This window comes from Homo sapiens, chromosome 6, assembly GCF_000001405.40.
Source record: "Homo sapiens chromosome 6, GRCh38.p14 Primary Assembly".
In the NCBI taxonomy this organism is placed as follows: domain Eukaryota; kingdom Metazoa; phylum Chordata; class Mammalia; order Primates; family Hominidae; genus Homo; species Homo sapiens.
Window position 1 is genome coordinate 159597383 of NC_000006.12, and position 18506 is coordinate 159615888.

General features: G+C 42.3%; 1 annotated feature.

Annotated features, from left to right (window-relative positions):
- Positions 5133 to 5649: an enhancer, noted in NCBI's record as "H3K4me1 hESC enhancer chr6:160023547-160024063 (GRCh37/hg19 assembly coordinates)". NCBI's record gives its function as "activates a minimal SCP1, AML or CMV promoter by ChIP-STARR-seq in naive H9 embryonic stem cells {active_cell/tissue: H9 hESC(naive)}" and the evidence as "EXISTENCE:reporter gene assay evidence [ECO:0000049][PMID:30033119]".

Here is an 18506-nt window from a genome sequence, read left to right on the forward strand (position 1 = left end):
AGGATGACAAACACAAAGCCTTAAGCCCCAAGCACAAAGCCCTTTCTGATCTTGCAGCCCTGAGTGACTGCACGGGTCTCCATTCATGAGGGACCTGCCGGTGTTCCACGCAGGCTGCCCTCCCTGCCCCAGGAACTCCATCTACTCCCCACCCAACTTTAGATTATGACCACTTTCTAAACAAGTCTGAAAAGCTGCTCTGCTAATGGTTTACCAGCACCACCGGTGGCGCATATGCTGTGCTCACCACGGGAGTCAGTCCCTGGTGGATCTGGATCTGGGAGCGAAGGTGGCCCTGTGCCTTCCCTGGAAAGAATGAAGAACCCGCCGGGAAGGTGCCCTTTCCCAGTGAGCTCGTGCTCACTCTGCAGCGATGCAGAGCCCAGAGAGGAGGACCTAGGGCTCACGGCAGCATCTTACGAGTCAAGGCCTCAGATGTCAGCGAAGGCTCAGGCAGTTTATTCTTGCACAAACCACAGTCAGCCTTGGAGACATGGAGAAAGAGTCAGGTGACCCTGAAAGGAGCTGGAGTTTCAACAGTTCACTTGTCTTTACCACAGTCAGAAAAATACCTTTTATGGTGAAAACAATTAACTTATTCTCACTTCTTTGGTTCATGTGTCCAAAGTTTCTGGAATTCTTTTAGCTAACCCATTTGCCATTTAATAAGGGCCTTCTAGAGACAAAAGCTTCCAAACACAAAGAGGTGACCATTTGCAAGAACTTGAGGCATTGTTGCATGTTGGTAAAAAGGATCTTTTTAAAAACAAGCCTTTAGGCTGGGCTCAGTGGCTCATGCCTGTAATCCCAGCCCGGGAGGCTGAGGCCAGCAGATCACTTGAGGCCAGGAGTTTGAGACCAGCCTGACCAACACGGTGAAACTCCATCTCTACTAAAAACACAAAAATTAGCCAGGCATGGTGGTGAGCACCTGTAATCCCAGCTACTTGAGAGGCTGAGGCAGGAGAATTGCTTGGACCCCGGAGGCAGATGTTGCAGTAAGCCGAGATCGTACCACTGCACTCCAGCCTGGGCAACAAAGTGAGACTCCATCTCAAAATAAAATAAAATAAAATGAAAATAAGCCTTTATATTGCATCAAAGGATAGCAGAATAGCCCTCCTATCCCAGGAACATGGATGCTGTTCAAGTCTCTGTATGACACAAGAGACCCTTCACTGCCCGAGTGCAATTTCTCTCTGCCTCATAGACAAGGGGAACAAACTCCGGCAGAGCCAAGCAAGGGTGTGAGGGGCCAGGTGTATTTCCATGGCACATTGTTGGCAGCCACGCAAACAGGTTCTGGTTATTTATTCCTCATCATTCCAGAGGCAGCAGGGACAGTGACTCCCATAGCCTGGCATATCACATCTTGTCACTCTGTCAGGGAAGACTGTCTACATAAGAAATGAAGGACAGAATCAAATCCTTTTCATAAATCACCAACTGACTCAATTTGCAAAACCCAAAATAGTAATAAAGTTACACAAAGTCACAGTGTATGTAACTTTAAGCATTTTCCCATTTTTGCACCTCTTCTTTTTTTAGCCAACCAGGATCAAAGGCCAAATATCCTATCTGGAATAAGAAATCCTTAAGAAAAATGAGTATGGGTCTTTTTGGGGTGCATCTATTATATCCTTCCATATTTCATATCTTCCCAGAGAAATAGTGTTTGTTTTTATTCCCCATACCTGAGAGAATTCTAGAATCTCAGTCTATTTCAGTTGTCCAGAGAGGAGAATCGAAGGCCCAATAGCTTCCTAAGAATGGGTCCGGGCTTAAACACAAACAAGGCTCAGCTCTCATGAACTTTATCACAGAGCAGGAGGGGGGCAAATAATAAACTAGGATTTTTTAGTTTATTTATCTGATAGGATTACCAGATCAAGGTAAGTGCTCTGGAGGAAACAGGGTAATATGCGGGGATGGGGAGTGACTCCAGCTGATTCCTTTGGGACCACAGGAACAGTGAGTACAAAGACCCCAAGGCAGCCAGTCACATCATCCTTATTCAATGGGCCACTGATGCTGACGATAAGGAGCAAAGCTGAGAAAAGTATGGGATGAGATCAGAGATAGCCAGGACAGGTACGTGAGGCCTTGTTGGTGCTGGTGAAGAGTCTGGTTTTTATCATAAGTTCAGAGAAAAATTGACAGAGGTTTTGGTGCAGGAGGAGGAACACCCTCTGCATTAGGTTTGAAAAGGTCCCTCTGGCTACTGTGTGAAAAAGTGGTTGTAGGGCCTGTGTTTTTTGCTAGAGCTGCTGTACCAAAGTACCACTACCTGAGTGGGTTGAAACAACAGATACTTATTTTCTCACTGTTCTGGAGGCTTGGACTTCAAAATCAAGGTGTTAGCAAGACCATGCTCCCTCTGAATCCTCTAGGGGACAATCCTTCCTTTCCTCTTCCTAGCTTCTATTAGTCCCAGGCAGTCCCTGGCCTGTGACAGCATCACTCCGATCTGCCCCATCGTCATGCGGCCATCTTTCCTGTGTAACTCTGTCCCTTCTCCTCTTGCTGTAAAGACACCAGTCTGATCGGATTTGGCCCCACCCTCATAACTTTGTTTCACCTTGATTATATCTGCAAAGGTCTGATTTCTATAAATAAGATTACATTCAAAAATCACCTGAGAGTTAGGACTTAAAGATAGCCTTTGGGGGACATCATTCAACCAATAACAGGGCCAGAGGAGCAGAGGCAGGGGCTTTTAGGAGGGAAGGAAGAGGTGAGATTCTAAACACATTAAATCTTGACTATGTTTCATAACTCTACCCACAAGACTTGTGGAGGGTGAAGGAAAGAGGACAATTGAGAGTGACTTCTAGAATTTCAGATAATGCAACTGGGAAGATGGTGATGCCACTTACGGAGATGGGAGAGTAGGGGGTAGGTCAGGCTTAGAGGGCAAATCAACAGCTCTATTTGGGACATGTTAAATTTGAGATCCCTTCTAAACACCCAAACAGAACTATGAAGAATATGCTTGGGAGTAATGTCTAGACCTCAGGTGAGGGTCTGGACTGAAAATGTAAATTTGGAAATTAGTAACATGCAGATCTTCATTTTGATTTGAATTCCATCATGAGACCGTTGAGATTTTGAATAAGGCAATAATATTAAAACAAATGATAAAAACTATTTTCATCATCTCATATGTTTCCCAAGAAAGTCATTACTTTAAACTTCCAAGCGAAAAGAGAATATCATGAGGCCAGAATATTTTTTAAGGTGAGTAGATGCCTTGGTTTATGTTGTGTATTTGAAAAAGTGATTGAACCCTGTGTTGCTGGCTTTGTTACTCAAGAACTTCTGAACTCCTGGATTTGGTTATCTGTCAAGGATAGGTATATCTTGTCTGGCACCAATTTTTTTCATGTTTTGAACAAATATTTATAAATCTAAAATAAGCTGTAATAAAGAGTCTGGCTCCGTGGATTGGTGGGGCTTTTAAGCCTCACCCATCCCTCTCCAGCTCCCACATCTGAGCAGGCTGATAGGAAGCCTGGGTGTTCCCTCTTTGGCACCAGCAGGACACGCAAGTCGTGCAAGCCCCTTCCCATGCACTGGAACCCTCACCCCAGCCCCACCCATGGCCATAATAAAAACCTCAAGCCAGTCTCCTTTCCCTGCTTTCACAAGACATTTTCAGACCAACCTGGGAAGCTTTCCTTGCTCTCCCCAAAAGCCTGATAGTGTGTGTAATAAACCTTTTTACAGTATCTTTGTATGTGTGTGGCATCATCAGTCTCAACATCCAAATTTTGGGTGCAAGTCTATCCTGCTTCTTCAAAGCTAACCTCCCAGAAATCAGGGATGAAGCACTGTCTAGGAAAGAAAAGACATGCTTAGCATTACTATATAAAAGAAAAAAGCAGCTTAGGGCCTGATGAAACAGCTGGATCCATGAGAGAGGAATCTCATGAGCCTGGGGTCACTCAGTAAGACCCCCACCTCCTTAGCCTGGCTTTTCCATGACGCAGTAAGACCCTCCCAGCTAGCCACCGCTACAAAAGCCATCGGAGGGAGCCATTCTCCACGGAGCAGCAGCAGCAAAGCATGGGTGGAAAGAGGACTGGGGGCTGGCTGGCCTTCCTTGGGGAATTCTTTTCCAATACAAATCAAAATCTACTTTGCAAGCGAAGTGTTCGTAAATTGTAGAAATTCACCTCATGGTATAGGGGCCAGAGGATGAGTAGGGGAGAAAAAGAGATGAAGAAAGGATTATGAAGCCTTGGCCAGAGTGAGAGGGCCAAAATGACACCCTCTAGCTGGTCAGAATAAGACAAAGGATCGAATTACCTGGAAAGCATATGCGTCTGTGGAGTGAATATTCTTTCCTCTAAACCACTCAGAGTTTTCAGGGGAAGTCCTCGGAGAATCAGTAACCTCTAAACATATTACATCTTGACTATGCACCTGTTTCGTACTTGTTAGCAGGAAATGTGCACTAAATTACAGGAACGCACAGCCAGGAAAGAGGGGTCGTGGTCTGGGTGCAAGTGGCAGATGTAAGGGCAACGTGGACAAAACCCATGGAGGTCGCAAAAGACACAAGAAAACACACCCTTTGGTCTGGTTCAGAAGGAAGCAGGAAGGAACACACGGGGACCTTTGGGTGCTATAGAAAGAGGATGAGAGAGCTGGGACTGCACCCTAACAGACGGGAAACTCATTGAACAACTCTCTTCCTTGATTTCTCTTCTATAAAATAATGAGGTTAAATTGGATGATCTCTAAAGTCTGAAATCACTACCTTTCCATAATTCATGGTCCCTAAATCAAAAGCATCAGGCTTAACAATCCGAAAGGAGGCCGGGAGGGAATATGACCAGATTCAGTTCCCTTCCAGCAGATCTTTATTATTATTTTTTTCTTTAATCTGTGAGTCCATCTGAACAAGATGCCAACCTTCATACCCCAGAAGTAAAGTAAGATCCCCCACTGAGTCCCGGGGTCCCTGGGAATCCACTGCCCTCCCTGGGGCTGGAGCGCTGGGTGCCAGTCTCCACTCTCCACCACACTCCTCTTTTGACCCCACCGCCAGTCACGAGGCCGCTGGGAAATAACTCAATCCCTTCAGCTCCTGGCGATAACTTATACAGGGTTTCTCCACGGGAACTGCCAAAAACATCTAAGCTCCTTCCCGCAGTTGGGAATCGCTGCCCTGCAAATGAAAAAGGAGACTAAACAAGAGCAGGGAGGCGGTGCAGGCCCCCGACAGCGCAGAAGCCGCTGGACCTGCAGCTGACTGAAGCCCACAAAATGCGCACCAGGAAAAGGCTGGTTTCCGCTCCGTTTTTAAAGCATGAGAGAAGCTACTGAGAACTGAAAAGTAAAGTCAGAATGCTTTGAAGGATATATATGCTAATGTTTTTACATTATGCTTTTGGCCAGCAAGCCACCAGAACATCTGTTTCTAGCTAGGAGACTGCTCTCGGGAAACACTTTGGCAAATGTTCCCCTCCCACCTCGCAGCCCCACCCTTAGGCCAACCCCTCCTCACCGCCCGCTCCACGTAAAAAGCAAGAACAAGGGGCACGAAGTCCAGGAGGTCTGTGGTCCTGGCTGCTGGAGCCCGCGCCTGGCTCTCGGTGCTCAGCGCTGAGTTTCCATGAGGCTCCCCAGGTGAGGACCTGCCAGAGCACAGCAACGCGGCATGGGCAGGCACCTCCAGGCCTGGCTGGCAGCGCCCTGGGAGTGGTCCCCTGGTACCTCTGCGGCGGAAAGAGGGTAACAACAGGCTTCCTATCTGAGGCTAACCCCTAGGTCGACGTACCAGGTCTCCAGCTGTTATTCTGACTGCCTCCATCTCCAGCTGCGGTGTGATTGCTGGAGCCCCCGTCCTTCACCGTCGGCCCTGGAAACTTCCCAGTGAAAGATACAAGAAACAGGGAGAGGTGGCCGGCTTAGTCCGATTTGTGCTGCTCTAACAGAATACCTGAAACTGGGTAATTTATAAAGGAACAGATATTTATTTCTTACAGTTCTGGAGACTGGGAAGTCCAAGATCAAGGGCCTGCATCTGGTAAGGGCCTCCTTGTGGTGTTATCCCATGGACGAAGGTAGAAGAGCAAGAGAGGAAGGAGGCCGAATTTATCCTCATGTCAGGATCCCATCCTCAATAACGAACCCACTCCCTCAGGAACAGCATTCATCCACTCACTAGAGCAGAGCCCTCATCTCCTAATCACCTCTCTTAAAAGTCCTGCCTCTCAACACAATTGTGTTGGGGATTGAGCTTCCAACACATGAACTTTGGGGACACGTTCAAACCATGGCAATGGCTGTCCTCATGTTGAATATTAACTGAGATAAAGTCTATCTACTAGACTTGAAGACCCTGCAGGAATTACCACTAATTCATATGTCTAAACTGCAATAAATTATAGCAGGAAATAAAATGGAATTTCCAGGAGCTAAACGAGAAGATCTTATGAACACAAAGAAGAAAGCAACAGACATTGGGGTCTGCTTGCATGGGGAGGGTGAGGGAGGAGAGGAGAAGAAAAGGTAACTATTGGGTACTGGGCTTAGTACCTGGGTGATGAAATAATGTGTACAGCAACCCCCCGGGACACGTGTTTACCTATGGAACAAACTTTCACATGCGCCCCCAAACCTAAAATAAACATTAAACAAATAAAAATAGAAATAGGATGGAATTCTGCTTTGCCTCCTTAACATTATGAGTTTTTTCATAATCTTCTATTTTGTGTGTCTGATATTTGAATCTTTGAAATGTTTGATCATTTCAAACACCAGCTCTATCTTCTCCCTCATCATGGGTATCATGTTATGGAATTCACTTCTCCCTTCTTCTCTGCACACTTAAAGGTCTTCACAAAAATGTTTAAATCTCTTTACCCCCTTTTGTCTATGAAGTTCTTTATCCCATAGAAGGGGTGACAGGCTAGGAGGCTGAAGGACATCATGCATTCTGACAGAGAAATAACACTTTCACTACAAACTGAAAAATGTACCCTCTTGAGTCAGTATTTCCCTCGTGCTATTTACACAGTCCTATGAAATAAGGAAACGTGGAAAGATCACTCTACCTTGAGGGCCCAGAAGAGTGAGCGATGGCCCTCTGGCTTCAGGGGAGCCCATGGTTAGCAGGCCACTTAACAGGAGAAGCCCTTCCTGGTTTAAAACTTCATCTGTTTCATGTTATCCTCATTTCTTTCCAGACCATTCTTCACCCTCCTTGCCTTCTCCCTACTGGCATCTCAGGCCTGACGTCACGGCTGTGTGTGAGGTGTAAATGTGTGTAGTGTGAATGTGTGTGTGGCGTGAATATATATGTGGTGGATGTGTGGTGTGTGGTGTGTATAGTATGTATGTGTATGTGGTGTGTGGTGTGAACGTGTGTGCAGTGTGTGTGTGTGGTGTGAATGTATATGTGGTGCATATGTGGTGTGTATAGTATGTATGTGTATGTGGTGTGTGGTGTGAACGTGTGTGTGGTGTGTGTGTGTGGATGATAGGGGTGGTGTGTACATGGTGTGGTGTGTGTGTGTTTGTGGGTGGGTGTGTGTGTGTGTAGGGGGATGTTCCTCTGGTTCTCACAGCCGCCATGTCAATGTCTTGTTGACGCAAACCTCTGTCTTGGAAGTCAGCTTCTGTCTCCACTGCCAGGTTTCTTGGAGCTTTTAATATGCCAGTGTGCATCATGGAATGTAGTACTTGACACAGGTGCTTATTGGCAGGCAGGGGCCCTGCTGGTCCCAGCCATCAAGTTATCTCTTCTTCTTTAATGTGATGAATACACCTCTTTTGGAAGCCCTATGTTGCCCTCAGAATCACCAAGGAGCATGCAGTTAGTGAGCAAAAATTAAATACCAGCCTCTGGCAAACCTAAATCCAAATATGTCCCCATTACTAAGTACAGTATAGTAGCCCTATAGGCAATGGATGGGACTAACTGCATATAAATGACCAGCTTTGTCACCCAGGTTAGAGTGCAATGGCATGATCTTGGCTCACTGCAACCTTTGCCTCCTGGGTTCGAGCAATTCTCTTGTCTCAGCCTCCTGAGTAGCTGGGATTATAGGCATGCACCACCATGCTTGGCTAATTTTGTACTTTTAGTAGAGACGGGGTTTCACCATGTTGATCAGGCTGGTCTAGAATTCCTGACCTCAGGTGATCCACCTGCCTCAGCCTCCCAAAGTGCTTTCTATCAGAGCATTTTGGAACTTAAAAGTTGTCCTCACTGTTGAGTTGTAAAGATACTTGTCTCAATGGATTAGCATCCTACGTGTTCTGCCCTGAAATGTAACCTTAGATAGAAATCTAAGCTTGAACACCCATTGCTCTGCAAGTCCAGGACAAGAGTCTATTGCCAAAACCCTAGCTGAGTTTTCCAGAAAGAGCCCATCTGAAGACTAGGGATGTTCTATCTTCCTCTAATTGCCTCCTAACCTCTTCCCCATTCCACCCTACCAGATCATTCCATAATGGAGGAGATGAATGCTTTTATAATCCATTAGAGGAAACCCATAGAGGCCTCACCCAAAGCAGATCTGCAGTGAGCATTTGTGTCTAATAAAGATGCTGAAAACTGCCAACTCACCCTCATCAGAACCAGGTGAACAAAAAAAGGGGAAGGGTACTTAATGTGTGTAAGCAGTGCCAGGCAGTGACATAAGATAACTTGTTTGTACCACAAACAGTTCCAAAACATAGGCTTCATTATCTGTTTTACAAATAAGAAAACTCAAGCTCAGAAAGGCTATTTATTTACTTTTTATTATTATTATTATTATTATTATTATTATTATTATTATTATTATTAGAGATGGGATCTCACTGTGTTGCCCAGGCTGGTCCTGAATGCCTGGATTCAAGTGATCCTCCTGCCTTGGCCTCCCAAAGTGTTGGGATTATAGGCATGAGCCACCATGACCAGCCAAAAAGGCTACGTAATTTGTTTATGATCACAGCATTAAAAAAGCCATAATTTGAATTCAAGTTTATTTCTCACCTAGAAGCTTAAACTAATTCCACTATATCCGCTGCTCTGTGCGGTACTTGTTTACGAGGCAAATGAGAATAGAAATGGTTTTTTGGATCAACACCTTTAACCAGGTTGGAGTTTCCTTCTATTTTTAGTTAACTGAGAGATGTTATCATAAATGAATACTGAATCTGACAATGCTTTCTCTTGGTCTATTGCAATGAAAACATGATTTGACTTTAGGTTTTTTTTTTTGTTTTTGCTATGATATTTTGTTGTTTTTGTTTTAGTTTGTTAATGTGGTGAATTATACAGTTTGATTTTTACATTTTAAACCAATTTTGCATTCCTAGGATAAACTCCAGTTGGCTATAACATGTCATTCTTGTTATATATTGTTGGATACAATTTACTAAAAATTTGTTAAGAATTTCTGTAACTATTCTCATGATGATATTAGTCTGTAGTTTTCTTATAATGTCTTTGTCTGGTTTTATTATCCTTTATCATTTATTATAAGGTAATGCTAGCTTCACAGTGTGACATACGAAGTACTCTCTTCTTTAATTGTCTGGAAGAATTTGGGTAGAACTGGAATAATTTTTTTTGTAAATAATTGGTATGACTCATCAGTGAAACCATCTGTGCTTGAAGTTTTCTATGTGGGAAATTTTATAGCTACGAATTCAATGTTTTTAATACATACAGGACTATTTAAGTCATCTATCTCTTTTTGAGTGAGCTTTGGTAATTTACATCTCTCAAGGAATGTGCCCATTTCATCTAAGTTGTCAAATTTATTGGCATAAAATTGTTCACAATAGTCCTTTATTATCTTTTAATATCTGTAGAATCTGTAATGATATCACATCTCTCATTTTTTCTATTGGCAATTTGTGTCTTCTGTCTTTTTTTCCTGGTCAGTATGGCTAAGATTTATTAATTTTATTAATTTTTCTCAAAGATAAATATTCTCTATTGTTTTTCAAGTATATATTTTATTAATTTCTTTATTATTTCCTCTCTTCTACTTACTTTGAAATTAATTTGCTTTTTAAGAAATCGTTTGTTTCCTGAGTTGGAAAGTGAAGTCATTGATTTAAGACTTCTCTTCTTTTCTGATATAATTTAGTGCCCTAACTTTCCCAAGTACTACTTTAGTGTCATGTCATAAATTGTTATCTGCTGCATTTTCATTTTAATTCTGTTGAAAACACTTTTGAATTTCTCCTTTGAATTCTTTTTTGATTTATGAGGTTTTTTAGAAGTGTGTTGTTTGATTTTCAAAGATCTGGATTTTCTAGAATTTTTTTTGTTACTGATATCTAATTTAATTTCATTAGATGAGAGAACATTTACTGTATAAGTATTCTTATTTTCAACGTATTGAGACTTCTTTTATGGCTAATTATATGATCTATCTTAGTAAATGCTCTGTGTGCACTTGAAAAGAATGTGTATACTGCTATTGTTATGTGGAGTGTTCTATAAATGCTAATTAGGTCAGGTTCATTAACAGTGTTGTTCAGGTCCTCTTCTATATCTCTGACAATTTTTCTGTCAACTTGTTCTTTTCATTATTAATAAAGAGGTATTGAAATCTCTAACATGCTTGTGGCCTGGCTATTTGTCCTTGTAGTTCTATCAGTTTTTGCATTACATGTTTTGAAGCTCTGTTATTAGGCACATAAGTGTTTATAATTGTTATAACCTCTTGAATTGACCCCTTTATCATTATGAAATGATCTTCTTTATTTCTGTTAATTACTTTGTTCTCAAATCTACTTTGTCAGATATCATTATAGCCATCCCAGTTTTCTTTGGATTAATGTTCCCATTAGCATAGTGTTAGCATCCTTTTTTCAATAGTTTTACTCCAATTTGGTGAGAATTAGAAATCTTCTGGACATTTTTTTTTCTTTTTTAGAGTCTGATTCTAAAAGACAATTGACATTGCCTTTCCTTGGTCTCAGCTACATGGGATACAGTGGAGGTGGGAGGACTTTTCAGGTTCTTCCCAGCCTGTGACACTTCATATCAGTGGGCCTGGTGAGGCTAGGATAGCTCCGTAAGTTCCCATACAGTTAGTTACCTACTAGAGTTAGAATATTTGACCTATGAACCTCATCCCACCTTTTACCCTATTTGCTTCTGAATCTTCATATTCAGCCCAAGAAAACTCTCTCATTTTCCTGATTGGTCTCACTCTTCTAACTGTAATCATGGCATATCTAATTAGACAGTACCCAAAGGTAGTATAGGGAACAGGGTGGGGGCCCTTTTATTTGAAGTGAGCTTACAATCATGGGAGAGATTCAGCTGTGAGTGCAGTCAACTCTAAATGATCAACTGGTTGAGATACAACATAAAAAAGAAATTGGAGTTTACTGAGGTAGTGAGGCTGGGGAGGAAGAGAAAGGTAACAAGGTGCCCTGAAGACAATTAGTTAATAACTACAGATATTTATCTTTCTGTCTTGAGAGAGCTAAAAGCACTACCCAGGAGTAAATATTTGTCAGATGTTGGCATCAGCCAATGCTTCTTCTAAGCTCCTCTTCAGCCATTCATCAATGTGATGCAAGCTCTCTAGTGGCCATGGCTCCAGATCTTCTCTTCTCATTGGAACTCGCTTTTCGCCTCACCTACTTCTACCCACATGTGCATTGCTGCATTCTCTGACTTCATCTTAAAGTTGTCTCTCATTCTTCCCACTAAACTGCTGGAAACAGAGATAGTACAAACCTTACTCCCCAACCCTGAAACCCCAATGTATCTTGATGAGTACTTGTCCCATCCTTTTGCAAGGCCAGTGGGGCTCTGCTGCCACCTAACTTTTCAGACCAGCAGCACACCTTGCAGACCAGAGATTGCAAACTCATAGCCCCAGGCCAAGTCTGTCCTTCAAGGGTATTTATTGGACGATACATTGTACTTCTATCTTTAATTTCAAAAACTTTAAAAGTCAGGATATTTTACATTAAAATGTTAATTTCCAGCGTATCTTGAAAAATCAGAACCCCTGGCAACACAGGATTTGTCTTTCTAAATGGCAACTCTCTTTAAATGGGCACTTGCTCTCCTGGTGGTCACAGTCACCCCCAGCTGGGTTCCCTCACATTCTTTATCTGCTTGGTCCCTATGAACATTTGGCGCTGTTATTTCTGCTGCAGATGGAAACTTGTGCAGGATAAATATGGGCAGATGCTTTTTTTCCTCTTTGTTGGATGTCACAAACATAATGTCCAGATGTAAGAATTATTTTTAAGAGAGCAGGCGTATAAGACATTTGGACTAAATTATAAACTGTAATGACAAAACTCATCATTTTGCTTTGAGAAATATTGCTTTAAGCCATTTCCTTTAGGCTGCTCACCTGCCTCAATTCTCAGAACTATGATTCGGCCCTGTGTTCATCCTTCAGAATTTTTATGTTTAAAAGATTTGTTTGAAAACACTTAAATACTGACATACAAACTTTTTTTGGCCACAGCATTTTAAACGAAAATAGTATGGAAAGTACATCCCAAGGAAATTCTGAACCTTAAGAAAATGCATATTTTACCACATGTTTTCAATTATTTTGGAATGAAGTTGAAGCTGTGGAGACCAAGCTTGGCACTGGGAACCATTGGCCTGGTCACCATCCCCACAGCTTTCATCATATGACACACAACAGCCTTCCAAACAGAGCCTTCTGAGGTCAGCTTCCAAGTGTCATCTGGCCCAGTCCAGGCCTTTTACAAAGAGAGGAAAATATGTATTATCTACCCTCAAGCTCATGCCCCAGTGAATAAACCAGGATGTGAGATTCAGATGCTTCATTTGTCCTGCACATTGACTCTCAGAGGTGCCAGCTACCTTCCCACCATCTTCCAGGTTTCATTCTTCATTGGAAACAGAAAAGCCTATTAGGGTAAAACTTTATTTTTCTACATGTGTTGGCTTTGAGAGATGGTTTACTTTGAACACCCACCTAGGTTGAATGAGAGTCTTCCCTGACTCAAAAATGGCACAGTATTATTTATGGCCAAGTACAAAGTTTCTTTGGATGAATTATAGCAGAGATTCCATGAACCAACACCACATTCAAGGGACACTCGAATGGTCGAGTAGCAGTCGATTTAGTGTGTGCCAGGAGATCTCAAAGAGTCACTCCTTTAGATGTGTAGGGGAAGAATATTTTTTCTTCAACCCCCATAGGTTCTTAGTTGGAATGGACTCCTTAGAACTAAAGACAGATTAACAAGAGAAAAACAAACAGAAGCTTATGAACATGTATGTCTTGTATATACATGACATATAAGACACCCAGAGAATGAGTAATTCTCCAAGAGGTAGCCTTGATTTCAGCTTATATAGAGTCTTCAACAAAGAACAGTTAATTTTTAGAGAAGTGACAAAACAAAAAAAAAAGGACAAAACAAAGGAAAAGTTGCTAGGGGCAGCAACTAGTAAAAGGCAAATAAATGGCAGACGAAGGCTAGTTAGCAAAGCTTGCTCCTATAGATTCTTCTGGTACCATCTCCAGACAACAAAGGTCTAAAGTTGTGTTCAGTGGTTAACCTTCACTCTCTCTGGTAGAAGCGCGGCAGGACACCTTTTGTCTTTGCAAACCTATGTCCCACTTTAGGCAAATCGAGGTGGGGCAGAGAGCTCTCCTGCATCTGCTTTCTCTTGTCTTTAGTTCAACAAACCTTCATGTTCTGGGCTGCATGTTCTGGTCTCCCACAAACAGATGGCATTCCAGCCACTCCTCAAGAGGCCTGGCAGTTCTGCAGAAGTGTTCGTGGGCTGCCTCAAGGAGGAAAAGCCAAGAATGAGGGCTCAGCCCCCAACCCAGGCCTCAACTAAAGCAGCTCTGTCTTCATCTGATTTAATATTAGCCTTTAGAGTAATGTTTCGTTTAAAGAAAAAAATCCATGAACGAAACATTCAAAAACCACTGCTTAGGTACAGATAATATTTGGACACCTGAATACACTCCCACAAAAACTGTTGTTGTTTTTGAGACACAGTCTCACTCTGTCCCCCAGGCTGGAGTGCAGTGGCATGATCTCGGCTCACTGCAACCTCCGCCTCCTGGGTTCAAGCTATTCTCTTGCCTTAGCCTCCTGAGTAGCTGGGATTACAGGCATGTGCCACCGCACTCAGCTAATTTTTTGTATTTTTTAGTAGAGACGGGGTTTCACCACGTAGGCCAGGATGGTATCGATCTCCTGACCTCGTGATCCACCTCCCTCGGCCTCCCAAAGTGCTGGGATTACAGGTGTGAGCCACTGTGCCTGGCCTTTATTGTTTTTAAACAGCATGCAAGACCTACTATAACCATCCCTCACTCTTAGAGCTATTTCTTTCCTGAATTTAGTCATGGAAGTCCAGATTGACGTGTAAGGCTGCTTCTATTGAGAGACTGCTACCAGGCTCACAGTGTCAAATTTCCACTATAGCTTCAATTAATTATATATTTTTTGAGATTTTCATGTTTAACACCAAGCTACAAATATGAAATTTAAGAAAGATTACTGACATACAGAAAATAACATGAACAAAGTTTCTACGTATCTGACTCATGTTTAAGTCACATCTAATACTCAAAGTCCCTCAATTCATCATTCTAACAAAGGGAATGGCAACAAATGCACACACATTTGGATTTCTGATCACCTGGCCCACCACTGAAAACATGAAAACACTAGGTTACTTCTGAGTTGAGAACCCGACTAATCTGTTAAAAATGTGAATCCTCCTGTAAGTTGCCCCAACAAGCCGTTCTTCAGCTCTAGCTCCTTAATAAGGCGAAGCAGAAAGCTGAGCTCCGAATCCCAAGGGATGCGTCATTTCGGGCCAATGGGATGCCACTATGTGGTTTATTTGTTTTTTTGTTTTGTTTTGTTTTGAGACAGAGTCTTGCTCTGTCACCCAGGCTGGAGTGCACTGGCACAATCTTGGCTCACTGCAACCTCCACCTTCCAGGTTCATCAATTCTCCTGCCTCAGCCTCCCGAGTAGCTGGGACTACAGGCACATGCCACCGCATCTGGCTAATTTTTGTATTTTTAGTAGAGATGGGGTTTCACCACGTAGGCCAGGATGGTATCGATCTCCTGACCTTGTGATCCGCCCACCTCAGCCTCCCTAAGTGCTGGGATTAGAGGCGTGAGCCACCACACCCAGCCCTACGTGTTCTGTAACTGTTTCTCAAGTCCAAAACTAGAACCCTTGGTCTAACACATTTTCCTGTGTCTTGGGGAATATTTATGCTGAATATTTAAAATCTGGACTGTTTAGAAAGTTCTGATTGCACTTCCACCAAAAGCCCAGTGTCCCAGTGGGTAATACGGAAAGCCAGAAGACAAAAAAAGATGGGCGCCCCAGCAGCAGGGCAGACATATACATCGCGTGCCTCACCACTCACTCACCCTGAGTGCTGAGCTTCACCACTGCTTCTTCCCACAGGTAGCGGAACTGGGGACAGGTGTTGGATAATGTATTCGTCCCTTCTCACATTGTTATAAAGAGCTACCTGAGACTGGGTAGTTTATAAAGAAAAGAGGTTTAACTGACTCACAGTTCCACAGGCTGTACAGGAAGCATGGATGGGGAGGCTTCAGGAAACTTACAAATAAGGCTGAAGGTGAAGAGGAAGCAGGCATGGCCTTCACATGGCCAGGAGATGGGGGGTGGGTGCTATACACTTCTAAACAAGCAAGTCTAGGAGGATGGTGCTAAGCCATTAGAAACCATCCCCATGATCCAATAACCTCCCACCAGGTCCCACCTCCAACACTAACGGTCACAACTCGACATGATATTTGGGTGGGGACATGGAGCCAAACTACATCCACTACATTGGGAAAATGCCCTGAGCTGCTCAGAAACACCATCAGGACTTGGGCTTAGGAGCCAGTTTCTAAAACTATGCCACAACGCAGAAGATCCTATACGATTTCTTTCCAACAGAATCAATATTTCTCACTTTATTTTCCTTTTTGCCAATGTATAAGTTTCTCTTCAATATTTTCTATGTGACCCAACCCCACTTAATTCTGTAAACATTTCTGTTTGACTTTAGCAGACACTCACCACACACAAAGCAACAATAACATGCACACAGGGTGGGCTGAGAGAAGCACTGATACAGAAGAGCACAGGACAAACCAAAGGATGGAGGCTCCATGGACCCCCACTGCCTGGGTGACAGCGGCTGGAAGGCAGAGGCTATGGACAAACGGAAGGCCTCTGGAGGCCCCTTTCCCAAACCACAGCCAATCACCAATTTCTACCTGTGTTTAAGGTTGTTCATGTTCTTCTTATCGTAAAGGATGAGTGTGGAAAGATGACATCCTTGAGTCCTGCTAAATCCACCCTCTGTGAGTATAGTTTCTCCATGCAGGAGTAGGCACAAATATCCCAGCCCCTACTACAGGGAGCATAGTGCAGATATCTGCATTTAGCTAGAGGCTAGTCATGTACTTTCTTAAGTCATTACATAGAATTATCAACACATAGGCACTAAGGAAACTTGTTTTGGTGAAAGTTCAAGGGGGAAAATTATCGAAGTGTAAATATTCCATCTTGTCTTTATTCTCCCATTTTATGAAATCATTTGTTTTCCTTCCTTTTGTCTTTCACTCAGTGATCATATATTTAATCATCATGCCCCAGTGGGGAAGCCAGAGACTCTAGAATGAGGATAGGAGTTGATGTAAAATTTCCAGACATCCATGCACTCACTTGTTCCACTGGACCCAGAAGAGCTGTCAAAAGGCCTCATTGCCCTATAAGTCACAGAAAGGACGTCCTAGATCCTTTCTTCCTGGGTCTGAAAATGAATTTTGTCAAGAAAGTCTTTCCAATACCATAATGAAGTTCCTTCTCCAACTGTTCAGCCTAGCAGTTGGCTCATAAGGCAAAAAGGAAACGGAGATGGAAAAGTAGCAAGACAGGCTGTTTCTCACGGGCCCCAGGCCCCCAGCACACAGACACTGTTTCACAAAGTGTTGTGGATGGTCGAAGGGAAAATAGAGCACAGGAAATAAAATTAAAGAAATGAAAGGATTGCCATTTTATCACATCAAAGTTAGGAAAATATATTTTATTTCTTGATTTTACTAAATGAAATGCTTCCACAGCTAACGTTGTTAATTGCTTTTTTCTATTGATATTTCCATTCTGTGGATTAGTGCTAGAATAGAGCTATGAAAGCAAATAAGCATGTGTGTTGAATGTCACAAAATGTTAAATATTCCTTCACATATCTTTATAAATATCTATGATAATTTATAAATATAATTAAATACATAACTAAAAATAAAACTACCATTTGATCCAGCAACCCCACTACTGGGTATCTATCTGTATTAATCTGTTCTCACACTGCTGCTAAAGACATACCCAAGACTGGATAACTTATAAAGAAAAAGAGGTCTAATGGACTCACAGTTCTACTTGGCTGGGGAGGCCTCACAATCATGGTGGAAGGTGAAAGGCACATCTTACATGGTGGCAGACAAGAGAGAACTTGTGCAGGGAAACTCCCCTTTATAAAACCATCAGATCTCATGAGACTTATTCACTATCACAAGAACAGCACAGCAGAGACTCACCCCCATGATTCAATTACCTCCCACCAGGTCCCTCCCACAACATGTGGGAATAATGGGAGCTACAATTCAAGATGAGATTTGGGTGGGGACACAGCCAAACCATATCACTATCCAAAGGAAAAGTAATCATTTTATCAAAAAGATACCTGCACTCATATGTTTAACACAGCACTATTCACAGCAGTAAAGATGTAGAATCAACCTAAATATCCATCAACAGATGATTGGATGAGGAAAATGTGGTATATATACACCATGAAATACTAGTCAGCCATAAAAAAGAATAAAATTGTGTCTTTTGCAGCAACATAGATGGAACTAGAGGCTGTTATCTTAAGTGAAATAACTCAAACAGAAAGTCAAATATCGCATGCTCTCACTTATAAGTGGGAGCTAAATAATGTGAACACATGGACATAGAGTGTGAAATAATTGACATTGGAGACTCAGAAGGGTAGGAAGAGGTGAAGGATGACAAATTTCTTAATGCATACAATGTACATAACACAGGTGATGGTTTTACTAAAAGCCCAGACTTCAACACTATACAATATATCCATGAAACAAAACTACACTTATACCCCTTAAATTTATACAAATAAAAAACATACATTCATTATGTCTTTATGTATATTAGCATGTTTATAAGTTATTATTTATAAATTAATATAATTAATTATATCATGTTTATTGATTAATAAATTTGATATTAATTATAAGTATTCATGACAGCTTTATAAATATTAGTATACTAATTTTAAAATAAGAAGACTAGAGAAATAGAGAAGTATGACTGAGGGCACATCAGAGGCCTCCCCTATTTCCAGAGGGGGAAAAATATTGGGGAAATAAGAATGAGGAAGGAGGATGGGTAGCTGGGTGGATAGAAGCAAGGTCCAGGTCTTTTCGTTCTTCTGGCATCATCTCCACTGATGG